The sequence below is a fragment of the Homo sapiens genome, chromosome 9 (genome assembly GCF_000001405.40).
Source record: "Homo sapiens chromosome 9, GRCh38.p14 Primary Assembly".
Taxonomy (NCBI): domain Eukaryota; kingdom Metazoa; phylum Chordata; class Mammalia; order Primates; family Hominidae; genus Homo; species Homo sapiens.
The window spans coordinates 37,078,467-37,092,229 of NC_000009.12; the positions used below are offsets into that span (position 1 = coordinate 37,078,467).

At 39.9% G+C, this 13,763-nt stretch overlaps 1 pseudogene across 1 annotated transcript, besides 1 other annotated feature; it reads left to right on the forward strand.

Moving 5' to 3' along the window:
- Positions 1,135 to 1,614: an enhancer, noted in NCBI's record as "active region_28377". NCBI's record gives its function as "activates an Ori minimal core promoter by ATAC-STARR-seq in GM12878 lymphoblastoid cells {active_cell/tissue: GM12878}" and the evidence as "EXISTENCE:reporter gene assay evidence [ECO:0000049][PMID:35858748]".
- Positions 1,430 to 11,935, forward strand: EBLN3P (endogenous Bornavirus like nucleoprotein 3, pseudogene; annotated as a pseudogene). The gene is made up of 2 exons (NR_036592.1): positions 1,430 to 2,070; positions 8,202 to 11,935. The product of NR_036592.1 is annotated as an endogenous Bornavirus like nucleoprotein 3, pseudogene (transcript).
- Positions 11,936 to 13,763: the final 1,828 nt, after the last annotated feature.

Consider the following 13,763-nt stretch of genomic DNA (forward strand, 5'->3'; position numbering starts at 1 on the left):
CACGGTTGCATGATGCATCACCGTGCCTGGCTAATTTTTAAAATTTTTTAAGAGATAGCCTGTTGGTATATTACCGAGGCTGGTTTCGAATTCTTGGCCTTAAGAGATCCTTCCCCCTTAGGCTCCCAAAATGCTGAGATTACGAGTGTGAGCAACCCCACCAGCCCGGCCAGGCATTCAAAATTTATCAGACCCAGAGAGACCTGAGTATGAGATGTCAGTTAGCACCATCCCCATGTACACTAGCAATTGTTTAAAGGCACTTTGTTCTTTTCTGCCCTGTACAAGCATCACCCTTTATCTTCGTGTTCCCAGAATCCGTGATAGAAAGAACAAGTATAGCCAATGGATAGGTTGTTATTTTAATGTAAATTCTTGGAATACAATTTAGCAAGGGCCTCTTCTTTTTTTTTCCTTTAAAAATTCACTTGTAGCCGGGTGCAGTCGCCCACACCTGTAATCCCAGTACTTTGGGAGGCAGAGATGGAAGGATCAATTCCTTTGAGACAAGAGTTCAAGCTTCCTGGCCAACAAAACAAAGAACTCACTTGAAACTGCTGCTAAGATCATGTATTAAATTAAGGGTAACTTGAAGTGATGCTCCCAGTTTGCATTCTTGAGACTTGGCCCAAATAAATTCTCTATTTATATTAACTTTGCCTCCGTTTTTCCTTTAGGTTGACAGTTATTTCTAAAGTTGTACAGAAGGGTTTACCTTGAGTATTAAAATAAGGTGTGAGAAAGGCAACTGAAGCCAGAGGCTCCCATCACAGCCTTGTGGCCTTCGGAGGCTTCCAAAGGATCAGCATTAACTGCAATATTTAGGAGGAGTGCAGCTCTTCAAGATTCATAAAGTGTTAAATCTGTTGCCTGGAATTCCAGAAAGAGGGGGAGGAAGAGCACAGTGTGAACTGTGTTCAACTTCAACCTAAAGGTAAAAGCGATCAGCCTAAGATCAGGAGCGCAAGGGAGAAGCTTGAAGCCATGCGTTCTCACGGAGGCGTTTCCCGCTCCAGGGCTGCCCAGGCCCGCGGGCCAAGCAGCTAGCCGTGCGGGCCGTCGTCACGCCCGCGATCAGATCAGCTCCCCGCCACGTGGCACTGGGAAGGCGTCCACCAAGCTCCAGGGAGAAGGAGGCGGAGCCCGGCCTCAATCTCACCCGTGTCCTCATGGGAGTTGTAGTTTTCCTTGCGGGCGTAGAGGGCACGAACTCCCGGCTTTTGCCCGATAAATAGCATCTCTTTTGTACGAGTCATTCAAATAATAGACGCAATCTAGGTAACTTCAAGAGAAGATGGGAAGGGGAAGGGGCAAAGCATGGAAGGCAAATCTAAAGATTATGGGCGGGGCAGAGAAAGGTTCGCACTTAGTACGCATGCGCATACCAGGCGCGACAGGTGGGCGGACACAGAAGGCGACGCCTAGGGCTGTGTTGTCCCGGAAGTGCCTTCTCTCCTCCCGGGTCTGCGCGGACGCGGCCTCCTTACCTCATTTGTCCTCGCCCCTCCCCGTCCCTCTACGCGTTTTGGTCCCTGTTTGGTGCTTTCTGTTTGCAGCTACGGCAGTGAGTATGTATGTGACGGACCCCGAGTCACCCGCGGCCTGGGACCCCTGCCTACCCTCCGTCTCGCCAGCCGAGCTGTGGAACTAGCGCGTGCCCCCTCGCCGACCTCGGCGTCTCCGGTCCGCCCCTCACTTGTGGTGGGGCGCAGCTCCTGGTCCCTCAGCTGCGCGCCGCCCCACGCGGCCGGGCTGCGGGTCTAGGGGGTCCGCATCTCCCTGGCTTTCCAAGGGCTAAGGTCGTGATTCTAGGGCGGCTGGGCGTCCAGGGCCTCGGTGGGGGTGGCGTGTCTGCCCTTTTTATCTCCCCGCAAGGCCCCCAGTCTTCTAGGGAAGCCAGTCAGTGAAGCGCGGAGGTCCGGGCGCGCCGAGAGAGAGTCCAGTCTTTGAGGACCGAGTAGTCCTGGGCCACCTCCCGCCTCTGCTGTCAGAAGCAGCAGCTGCCGCCGTGGAATCCAAAATTTCGGGAGCTGTGACCCTTTCCTCATGTAAAACGAGTAGTCTTGGACGGTGAGCGGACAGTTGCCTTCAACTTTTGGGAAGAGCTGCCGGTTCGGTGGAAAAGCTGTGGCTGGGAATCAGGAGGCCTGGGTTCTAGCCGTGGCTCCCCCACGGACTCGCTGGCGATTCCAGAAAGCTCTTATTGAGGCTGAATTTAAGATTATATCAGATTACACAGTTGAATTAGGGGCTCCATTAGTAGGGCCCTTTTAGCTCAGTGAATAAGTTTCTCCAACTATAAAACGAGAGCGTTCAATTTGATGACTTTTCAGGTCCCCTCAGAAGCTCTTGACTTTGTGGTTTTCTTTTTCTTTTAAAAAATTTTTTCTAGGACCGTTAGAGAAATGACTTCGTGTTTGAATAGTTAGGCTGTCGCATACAAAGACTTTTAAATGGATTGTGTGTATACTTAGGAAGGCATTATGCTTTCAAGAGAATCTGAGGATGGGGAATAAAGTCAGGAAGGATCGCAAGTGAGGATTATATTAATATGATAATTAGCACGGTAAGAGACTGCATGACCGAAGGAAAAGGGCTAAGGGAAAGGTGAAGGAAATGTTTCCGGATAGGATTAGTTCTCATAAAAATCATATATATATCCCAAGAAGAGCTGGGACTTATGTGACTAAATTTAGCTTATTTTTTTTCCCCCACTGAAATACTGTGCTCTGCCTCTGTTTTGTGACCTTTGTTTTACACATTTGGTTTCTCCACTCCAATCTCAGATTTGATTCAGAGTGGCCGTGGCATTTGAAAAATGGACATTTTAACCCCTTAGTCAATTGTGTTTCACCTGTCACTATCAGGATAGCTCATTAATAGTAAGAAAGAAATTTTACGTTGAAAGTAAAGTGTGTTCAGCATATTGCAGTGAAATTTGGACTGAAAATGAGGCTGTGGATTTGATTTAAATCGGCCCGAGATAGATTCCTATGTCGTCAAGAAGGAACATCTAGGGAGGCTAAAGGTGCTTTGGAAGTAAATAAGAGCAAAAGGTCAGAATGACCAGTAGGTAGGCTGTGAGACCAGAAAGATTGATTAAAGACCGGGCGCGGTGGCTGACGCCTGTAAATCTCAGCACTTTGGGAGGCCGAGGCGGGCGGATCACCTGAGGTCAGGAGTTCGAGACCATCCTGACCAAAATGGAGAAACCCCGTCTCTACTAAATATACAAAAATTAGCCGGCGTGGTGGCGCATGCCTGTACTCCCAGTTACTCGGGAGGCTGAAGCCGGAGAATTGCTTGAACCCGGGAGGCAGAGGTTGCGGTGAGCCGAGATCGCGCCATTGCACTGCAGCCTGGGCAACAAGAGCGAAACTCCATCTCAAAAAACATAAAGTAAATTCTGAAAGCTTAAATAAGCCTTAAGTTGTCTAGTTTAAAACAATTCAGTCAATGAATACTACTCCCTCTTTTGAATGGGAAGAGCCTTTGCAGTTATTCTATAGCTGTTTTATATTTGTTAAGCTATTTTGATTCTTAGATAAGTTTCATTTCCATTTCCATGATATTTTAGGATCTTATATAAGAAATATCTTTTCTGGTCACGGGATTGATAAAGTCTTTGAGTACTAACTTGGGAGATTCTTGGATGATAAACTGACAAATGTGTGTTTTTCTTCCAACGAAAATGTCTCATTCATAGTTGTTAAACTCTGCTGGGAGGTAAAATGGATATTTGTGAGGTAAACTTAGGTGTTAGAACCAATGCAAATACTTCAATGAAGGAAGGTGTTTTTTTACTTTGAAATTACTTATTTGGAAATTTTATTTAAAAATTTTAGTGGACAGTTGGCTGAGAATCACAGAAACGTGAATCACTTCTAGCTGTGTTCTTAACCAGCTGCATAACCTTGGATAGGCCTCCTATCTCTTTGTACTTCAGTTTCCTGTGGGTAGATTGAGTAGTCTGTATGAGATAATCTGATTTTGTTATCTAGTTAGTATACTTGGGAGTCAACGTACAGGGATCAAAAAGCTGAGAAAGCCTTCTGAGTCAAGGGTTTGTTTGTGTGTATGTAAAAAAACATATATATTGTCCTCTGAGAATACTCTTTTTTAAAAAAGTTATTAAATTCATTTGAATGTAATTAAAGCGGTAACATAAACCACAACAGCCTCAGGCAGACTTTAACCCTGGCATACATAAGCTACCTAAATAAGAGAGCAGGTTATGCCCAGCACAATTTTCAAGTACAGACGGTACAAAATCCTCTTAAAGGCCATAGGGGCTAAATTGTTAAATTCATTTTTCTACATTTTAGAGAAAGAGATAAATCCTTCGACCCAGGGAAGTCAGTTTTTATTATGGTTCTGTAGTTTATTTTTGGCATACATTCACAGGTGTGCCTATGGCTCTATTCTTAATCCCTTTCCTTTGGGATGGCTGCAAGAGTAGTACAAATTTGTAACTGTAATTTAGCTCTTTAATTTTTTTCTGTGCTGCACTGGAATTATGTTTTATCTTAAGTCCACACTGGATCCTCAGGATGGATCCAGTGAGGATTTTGAAAGAAGCATAATTCCTTTGACTTCTTTTAGAATTAATTTACCTATTAAATAAAAAGGAAAGGATTCATCTTTTATTTGAATTCCTCTGAGGCTAACAATTCAATATAAACTGATGAATGCTATGAGCATTATTCAGACAATCACATTCAATTTGTGTGACAATAACAGCATAGCCACCTGAAGGACAGTACAACAAGGGCACAGGTATATGATACCTTTTAGAAGAAAAGCATTAACAGGTGGGTTTATTTATTTCTGGAAAACAAAAAACTCCAGCAAGAATGTAGTACATTTTTGGCTCTTGTCCATTTGGTTCTTGGGATTAAGCTGGTTCTATTACCAGAACTAGCATCACAACACCCTGACATTTTGGGCAGAAATTTGAGTGGCTAAGAAAACAACTATTTTTAACTTTATGTGTATAGCTACAAGTGGAAAAAAGAATAAATTGGCATTGTTATTGCTGTCTGGGCTGTCCTTGATTTTTGGACACAAGCTTATTTTTCCAGAGCTCTCATTTTAGTCAGTAGTCCATCAGTACCTAATGGAAACATCTACTGTGTAGATATGAGAATTTCTAAGACTTTGGAGTAGTTGAAAGACAGCAGAGAAATTTATCCTATCATAATTTCTGTATTTTAAGCACATACTAGATTTATCAGGGCTGAAGGACAAATGGCCTGGTGTTATAATTCATTTATAAATTCAACAGATACTTATAGATGGCCCCCAAAATACCAGTTACCCTGCTTGGCTTTGGTGATTCATTGTTTAGCAGAGTGTATATAGTTCCTGCCCCTCCTGTGGTTTGTGATCTGTGCTTCTGGGAGATTTACATTGAATAAATAATTAGAAATGTGATGAGTGTTTTGAAATGTAAAGTGCTATGAAAGCCTATAAAAGGGGCATTTAATTTAATCTGGTGGGAAGTGATTTTGAGCCAAGTTTAAAAGATGAAGGCTGAGAAGGATTTAATATGCTCACAGTACTAAGTGTTTCACTTTATGCATTTATTCCCAAAGTTGGGAGTTTTCTCTCAATTTTAGGTCTTTATTACGTTTGTATTTTATACACAGTTTTATAACAAGCACAGGAATAAACAGGTTTATCAGGGTTTTTTTGGTTTTTTTTTGGAATTGGGGTTTTGTTCTGTCACCCAGGCTGGAGTGTAGTGGCGTGATCATAGCTCACTGTCAACTTTGAACACTTGGGCTCAAGCTATCCTCCCTCAGCCTCCCAAGGTGGGAGGTACAGGTGAGTACTCCATCCACCTCTGACCTTGGCCCTGTGCTCTCATTCAACCAATTCTGTTGGTACTGCCTCTTACTACAAGATTTGCTTACCCGGGAGTTAGATAGCAAGCATGGGAAATGCCTGGCACACAGAATATATGGAATTAGTGTTAGGATTTTAGTAACTTCACAGTCGGAAAGAGGAAAATAGGAAGAGCTGTTCGTATAGGGTAGACTATAGGAGAGAATGCAAATTTTGAAAGCTACATCATCAAGGATTAAAATTTTGCTGCTAGCTTTGTCTCTATAATAATGTGGTCATCTAGTCTTAATGCTTATTCCTTCAAAAAGTTCATTCTTTTCATTTTTCTCCCTTTGTGCCTAATGCTCAATCTCTTGCACTAGTTTCGGAAGTGGTCTTCTTTTATGTCTGCCCTATATGCTGTTGTTAAAACTGGTATTGAAATGCACTTTTATTCATGGTACTTTATTGCTCCAAAATTTGTAATGGCATCCTGCTTCCCCAGGAAACTATGACACTGAATGTAGATCATACTTGGAGCCCCTGGGATTGGCAAATTTTTTTTTTTTAAGAAGCCAGATAGAAAATATTTTAGGTTTCCAAGCCATATGATATCTTAACTACTCAACTCTGCCCTTGTGGGAAAGCAGCCTTAGATAATACCTGTAGAAATCAGGGTGGCTATTGTCAATAAAACCTTACTTACAAAAACAGGTGGCTGGCTCAGACTGTAGTTTGCTAACCCTGAGAACTTGACAGCAAAAAGAAGAGATAAATAGTAGTTAAAACATAAAGCAGAATCAAATAAATTTTTTTTCCATATAGGTGAGATCTGATAATGTTTTTAGGTAGAAAGGAAGAAACTTGTGAAGCAGGAGAGACTAAACCTGTTTGATGTTTTTGGTTGGGGGCCAGGTTAGAGATAGGATCGGGTGTATGTGTTGTTGAATTATTCCTAAAAGGGAAGAGAGACACCAGTAATTGCAAAATCATCAAGTATTTATAGAGGTAGAGGAGAAAGAATAAATTCAGATGTGTTGAGATAGATGAGAGTACCTATGAGGATTTGTTTGATTTGGGAAAATGAAAGCAGAAGTAGGAGAAGCAGAAGTAGGAGAAATTCAGATGTGTTGAGATAGATGAGAGTACCTATGAGGATTTGTTTGATTTGGGAAAATGAAAGCAGAAGTAGGAGAGGGCAGAGGATAATTGGAAGCTTAGAATGGGGAAAGGATGTCTGTGCTGTGGGGAATACTTTCAGGCAGTTGTTACCAGTATTTTGAAGATGACAACTTGTTTAACCTCGAAACAATTTGTGGACCACCCCATGATTGTAGTTACATTTTTAGTATTCATCAATGGAGAATATGCATATTAGAAAAAAGCTACTACTCAGTTCTCTCTTAGATGACTTTGTATTTTATTAACCACAACATGGACTGCACATTTGAAAAATGTTAATACATGTATGTGAGAAATTGTCTTTATGTAATGCAATGCCCTGGGTACCCACTGAGATAACTAATTTAACAGCTTCCCAGGAGGCTGAAAGCTCATAAGTTAGAAATCATTGCGTTCTAATGAATCAACAATAAGAGAATAAAGGATTGCTTAGAAGTAGTATTCTGTCAAAATTAAAATGAACTTATAATGAACTCACTTTGAAGGATTCCATAACTTTTTATTCAGTAGTACTTGGCAGTTTTGAGCAAGATGACAGAAACAAAATGATCTAGGGTTAGGCATAACATTGTATAGAAGGCCAGAATAAACATTTAGCTTATTCTTTCTCTAAATTACCTTTTCCTGAGATCACACCCAGTTTCATTAATCACTTCTGTATTTATGGTGATCAAATTGGCATCTCATTTTCTTAACCGTTTTGTTGATTTCATGTTCCCCATTTACACCTTACTGAATATTTCCATTTGGGTATCTTACTGTTTCACATTTAACCTACTGAAAAGAAAGCTTCTTATCTTTCCTTTGAAACGAGCTCTCTGCTGATTTCTACTTGGAGTAGAGAATATACAGAGATGCTGAAGTTGATGGGAAAATGTGGATAGGTTGGGAAAAACATGAATTAGGTGTGGGATTCATTGAAGAAATTGAACAGCATCATGACTGGTAAATGATGGTGATGAGAAAGTAGAGAAAACCTACTGTTTGCTCTTACCATTTGTTTTTTAAATTTTAGCCAAATCAAGTTCTTGACTCATACACTCTTACAAATATTCAAATATATGTTCTCTATTTTGTTTCCTTAATCCAATAATGTTGTAATCCTTTTCCAATTAATAAGCAATATGTTCAATACCGATGCCCATTTAAGTGTGCTGTTACTCTCTAATCATTATTATTCCTTTCATAAATAGATCTGGGCATAGGAACCAATCAGAAACAATCGCTTCAGCAATCAAGACCATTGTTCATCATGGAGGAACCCATGGATACCTCTGAGCCTCTATCTGCATTACCATTCACTGGGCAGCAGTCTTTTGAGCCAAGTGGCAAATTTGGACAGTATCCATCGATGCAGATGAACCACATCCAGGCACTGGGGAAGTGGAGGACATAGAACAGCTCAATCAGTGTTTGATCCAACACTTCCATCTCATTAAGACAAGTTTGATTTTTCTTTGCTTTTTATTTCATGGAATACATGAGAATCTCTTAACTGTTGGAGTTTCCAAGGAGGCATACCTCATGACTTCAGTTAATGGAAAGAACAAAACTAAAATGCTGTATGGCCAAAGCCACAAAGGGAAGGATCCACAATTTACATTCTTGGAGCTATCATCTGTACTGTACTGTTGTGATCTACTGATTGGCATTGGCATAGTAGTAGGGGTCAAGTGACAGAATCCGTGCCAGCAGTCTCCAGGTTCAGAAGCAATTCAAGACCCTGATGATAGCTCTCCAGCAACCAACACATGGTGATTGTGCCAACTTGTTGCTCAGTTATAATGCAGGGCCAGTGATTGGTTTAAGTGAAGACCATGGTTGAGATCATTTGTCTTTGGTCTAATAGAATTTGAGTCTAGTAGAATTTGAGTCTCCAGGGAAAGAGCTACTTGACCAAATTAAACTAGTAGCAGGTAGAGCATGAATGACAGCATATTATACCATCAAGATGTTCTTAGAGCAGTGTATGGATGGATCGATTGTACTGCCATCAGTTGTGACTGACGTTGTATTCAAGGAGAAAGAGAAACTTGTTTAGAAAGCACTTTGAAAGTTTTTTGAGTACGGGGGTGCCCTGTATCACCCCGTTATGGTTGAACTTTCTCCTTCAAAATTACCAGACTTGGCAGCAGTGGCAAATTATTGGGCTAAAAGACTTAATCAGACATATTCTGGGTTCAAGGCTCCTAATATAATACCTGGTGCAAACATTATACTTCCACTCATTCAGATGGTTGCATCCTGCCAGGCATCCAGTGGGACTGGGAATATGGACACTTGAACATTAAACATCCTGAAGAATTTTGGAATGACAGGTTACAAGTGAACATAATCAGTTCTCTATATTAAAAAAAAAAAAAGATTTGGGCATAGATTGGGCTCACATAATCTTTAGAGAGATTTTTTCATTTTTGTGAAAGTACAGAAATTCTTAACTGCTTATGAAATGCTGATTGTTAAACAGCATCCACAGCTATTTTGTGTTGTTTCCCTGACCCCACCCTGAAGAAAAGAAAAATTATGGCATATTGAAAACAGCAGTATGATGTAAGAGAAAAGATCACAAATTCCTTGAGGGTGGGTCTTTTCCATACTCATAAGCCTATTTATAATATTCAGAGTAATTTATTGACACATATTAATATTCCCTCCTATCCCATTAATTGCCAAATCATCAAACATTTATTGAGCACCTACTCTGTGTAGGGTGTAAGCAGTACTGGGGACTTACAGTGATAAAAGACATAGTTTTAGCCTTAAGTGATGTACTGTTTCACTGAAGAGATGGAATATAAGAAGCCAAGTAATTTATGGAATTCTCTTCTTTGTTTTTCTTTTTTTTTTTTGGCAGTGGAGTCTTGCTCTTTAAATAGAGCAAGGCTAGTCTGGAACTCCTGGGCTCATGTGGTCCTCCCGCCTTAGCTTTCAGTGTAGCTGGGACTACAGGTGTGAACACAGCTTGGAAATCTCTTAACCATGGGAGTTAAGTCTCAAAATTCTGGTGATACAAGTGGTTGAAACTTAAAACTGTATTTAAAAAATAGGATTCGTGAATTTGAGATAGTTCATAAGTCTGCAAAAGGCTGTATAAATACATATTTTACATTTACTATTATTAATTTTGTAGTAAATTTGAGTACAGCACTCTCTTTATCTGTGGAAACTTCAGACTCTCCCCTATTACTTTAATTTCAGTGAGACATTATTAAATATAAGTGGGCTTACACATTTGTTTTGCTTTACTGACAAATAATACACAACTTGGAGGCTTTTTTTTCCTTTCTATTCTTCCTCTAAATGTTCAACACTTTTCTGATTTTGTGATTTGAGGTTGTTTAATAGCTTCCTGAGGCTCCATTGAGACCGTATATACGTGACACTTAACAGTCTAGCCTTCCTCGGTACATATAGATATATGATGGTGGCTTTGCCTGTAGTAAATTCATGCCAAAACATAGGCTTTCAGTGCCTATTACATATGGCTTTCAGCTCTCTCTACTGAGGGATGTAGGAGTTTATTTCTGAGGTCTGAGCCTCTTTTCCTTTACTTCCTTTACTCTTTCCTAAGCCTTCTTTATAAAAACTATGCATGTTCTATTGTTTTCCTTTTTGATTCCCTTTCTTTTATTATCCCCAGTAGGAGTGACTTGTAATTCTCATATGTTAGAAAGGCAGATCTCCTGGTTGAAGAAAAGATCCACCCAAGCAAGTCAGCATGTTTAATAATTTTTGAGGGGGATCTCAAATGTGGGAAGGATTGTTATATAAGACAACCAAATGATGACATGAGACAATAAATGCTATAGGAATTATGGAGGAATAATTAGCTATTTATTTTCTTGGTTAGGGAAGAGATATTATTAGTTGTAGAAGTAATTACTAACTTCTACATTTTTTATTGTGGAAATCAAAAATATATATATGAAAATAAAATGTTATAATTGACTTCAGTGTCCCATAAACCAGCTTCAACAATTACCAAATTGTGACCAATCTTTACACACATGCACAGGTGTCCCTCAGTATCTGTGGGGCATTGGTTCTAGGACCACTTATGGATACCAACATCTATGGATGCTCAAGTCCCTGATATAAAATGGTGGACTATTTGCATATAACCTGTGTACATCCCGTATTATTTAAATCATCCCTAGATCACTTATAATACGTAATACAATGTAAATGCCATGTAAATAACTGTTATACTGTATTAAGGAATAACAACAAGAAAAATGTACATGTTCAGTACAGACGCAATTTTTTTTGTGTGTGGAATATTTTCATTCCAAGGTCAGTTGAACCCATGGACATAGGAGGCTGACTGTGTGTGTGTGTGTGTGTGTGTGTGTGTGTGTGTGCATACAGACACACATATTTCTGAAATGTAAATATTCTCTTCTTAAAAAAATTATTATCACAGCTAAACAAATTACCAGTAATTCTTTTATCCTCATATACCCGGTGTTCAGATTTTCTAGATTGGCTCCTAATTTTTTTACAGATTATTTGAATCTGATTCAATTCATGTACTGTAATGTTTGATAACTTAAGTACCCTTTATAGGTTCTCTTTTACCTCTTCTTTATTAAATTCCTTGTAATTTGTTGTACTAAATAGATTGTCTTCTAGAATTTCCTGTAGTCTGAATTATGTAGTATTGTTTCACATGTTCCAGTGTCCTCTTATTTCCTGTGAGTTGGTAGTTAGATCTAGAAGCTTGATTAAATTCAGATTTTCTCTCTTTAGATCATCAACTTTAGATCATCAACTTGGATCATTTGTTTCATTTTGCTTTTGATATGTTGTTTTTTAGAATTACCTCTTAAAATTTTGATTTAATTTTATAATCATGTAAAATGTTTATAAATTTCCAAATTCAGATCAGCAAAACACAATAAAATCTATTCAGAGAAGGCAAACCTTCTGTCCAGTCTCCATCCTGTTCCTGCTCTTCCCCTTATGGGTAACCATTAAGAGAAAATTGGTGGTTGGTCCTTACATTTAAAAATATATATAATCAAAAAACTGTATATCTTTGTACCCTCTTTCTTAAATTTATTTTATTTATTTATTTATTTATTTATTTATTTATTTATTTATTTTAGACAGAGTTTCGCTCTTATTGCCCAGGCTGGAGTGCAGTGGCGCAACCTTGGCTCACTGCAACCTCTAACTCCCAGGTTCAAGCAATTCTCCTGCCTCAGCCTCCCGAGTAGCTGGGATTACAGGTGCTCGTCACCACGCCTGGCTAATTTTTTGTATTTTTAGTAGAGATAGGGTTTCACCATGTTGGCCAGGCTGGTCTCGAACTCCCGACCTCAGGTGATCCGCGTGCCTCGGCCTCCCAAAGTGCTGGGATTACAGGCATGAGCCACTGTGCCCAGCTTCCCTCTTTCTTAATAAGTTGTGGAATACTATGTGCTCTTTTAAAATGATTGATGAATAGTAGTATACTTGTGACAATCTTTTTTTTTTTGAGACAGAGTCTTGCTCTGTCGCCCAGGCTGGAGTGCAGTGGTGCAATCTGGGCTCACTGCAATCTCCGCCTCCCAAGTTCAAGCAATTCTCCTGCCTCAGCCTTCTGAGTAGCTGGGATTACAGGCATGCGCCACCATGCTCAGCTAATTTTTGTATTTTTAGTAGAGACGGGGTTTCACCATGTTGGTCAGGCTGGTCTCAAACTCCTGACCTTGTGATCCGCCCGCCTCGGCCTCCCAAAGTGCTGGGATTACAGGCGTGAGCCACTGCGCCCGGCCCACTTCTGACAGTCTTAAAATGTATTTTAAACAAATAAAAAAGTCTAATTCCACTTTCAGAAGCATGCTTTGTTCTTGTTCCTGGTCATAATGTTTCTTTCTCATTTAATAATTTTGAAGATTTAGGTTTAGCAAAAAATTATTAGGCTCAGGACTTTTTTTTTTTTTTTTTTTTTGAGATGGGGTCTCGCTCTGTTGCCCAGGCTGGATGGCAGTGGCATGATCTCGGCTCACTGCAACCTCTGTCTCCTGAGTTCAAGCAATTCTCCTGCCTCAGCCTCCCAAATAGCTAGGATTACAGACATGCATCACCACCCCCAGCTAATTTTTGTATTTTTAGTAGTTTTTAGTAGAGTCGGTTTTCACCATGTTGGCCAGGCTGGGCTCGAACTCCCAACCTCAAGCAGTCCTCCCGTCTTAGCCTCCCAAAGTGCTGGGATTACAGGCGTGAGCCACCGTGCCTGGCTAGGTTCAGGATTTTAAAAGAATATTTGTTTTGAAAATGGAAGAATACAACATTTTTAAGAGTTGAAGATGGCATATTCCTAGTTTGTGAGTCTTGTGGTATGTTATCGTAGAGCTCCTTCAATATGTATAATTTGGAACACAGCCCCTTTAGTTTGTCAGCATTTGGCACATACGGGATACCTAACAGATCGTAGGTAAATTTAATTAGAATTCTGTTTTTGTGTATAGAGTACAGCTCTTTACATAGTATGATTTGAAGTGAAATAATGGCTTAAGGTAAGTGGCTTTTGAAATTGAAATGAAATTATGGCTTCAACAACTTAGGGCAGTAAGTCTTCTAACTGTTTTATGTCAAATCCTTTTTCTCCCAAAAACATGTACATAACAGTTTTAGATACAATTTAACAGGATGGAGAACTCATCTAGAGGCAGTTGCTGAATTCCTGACGTTTATTAGGCACTCAACCAAGACTTGATAACTAATTAAAATTTGAGTAGAGTGGGTTACCTATTTGAATTTTAGGTTTT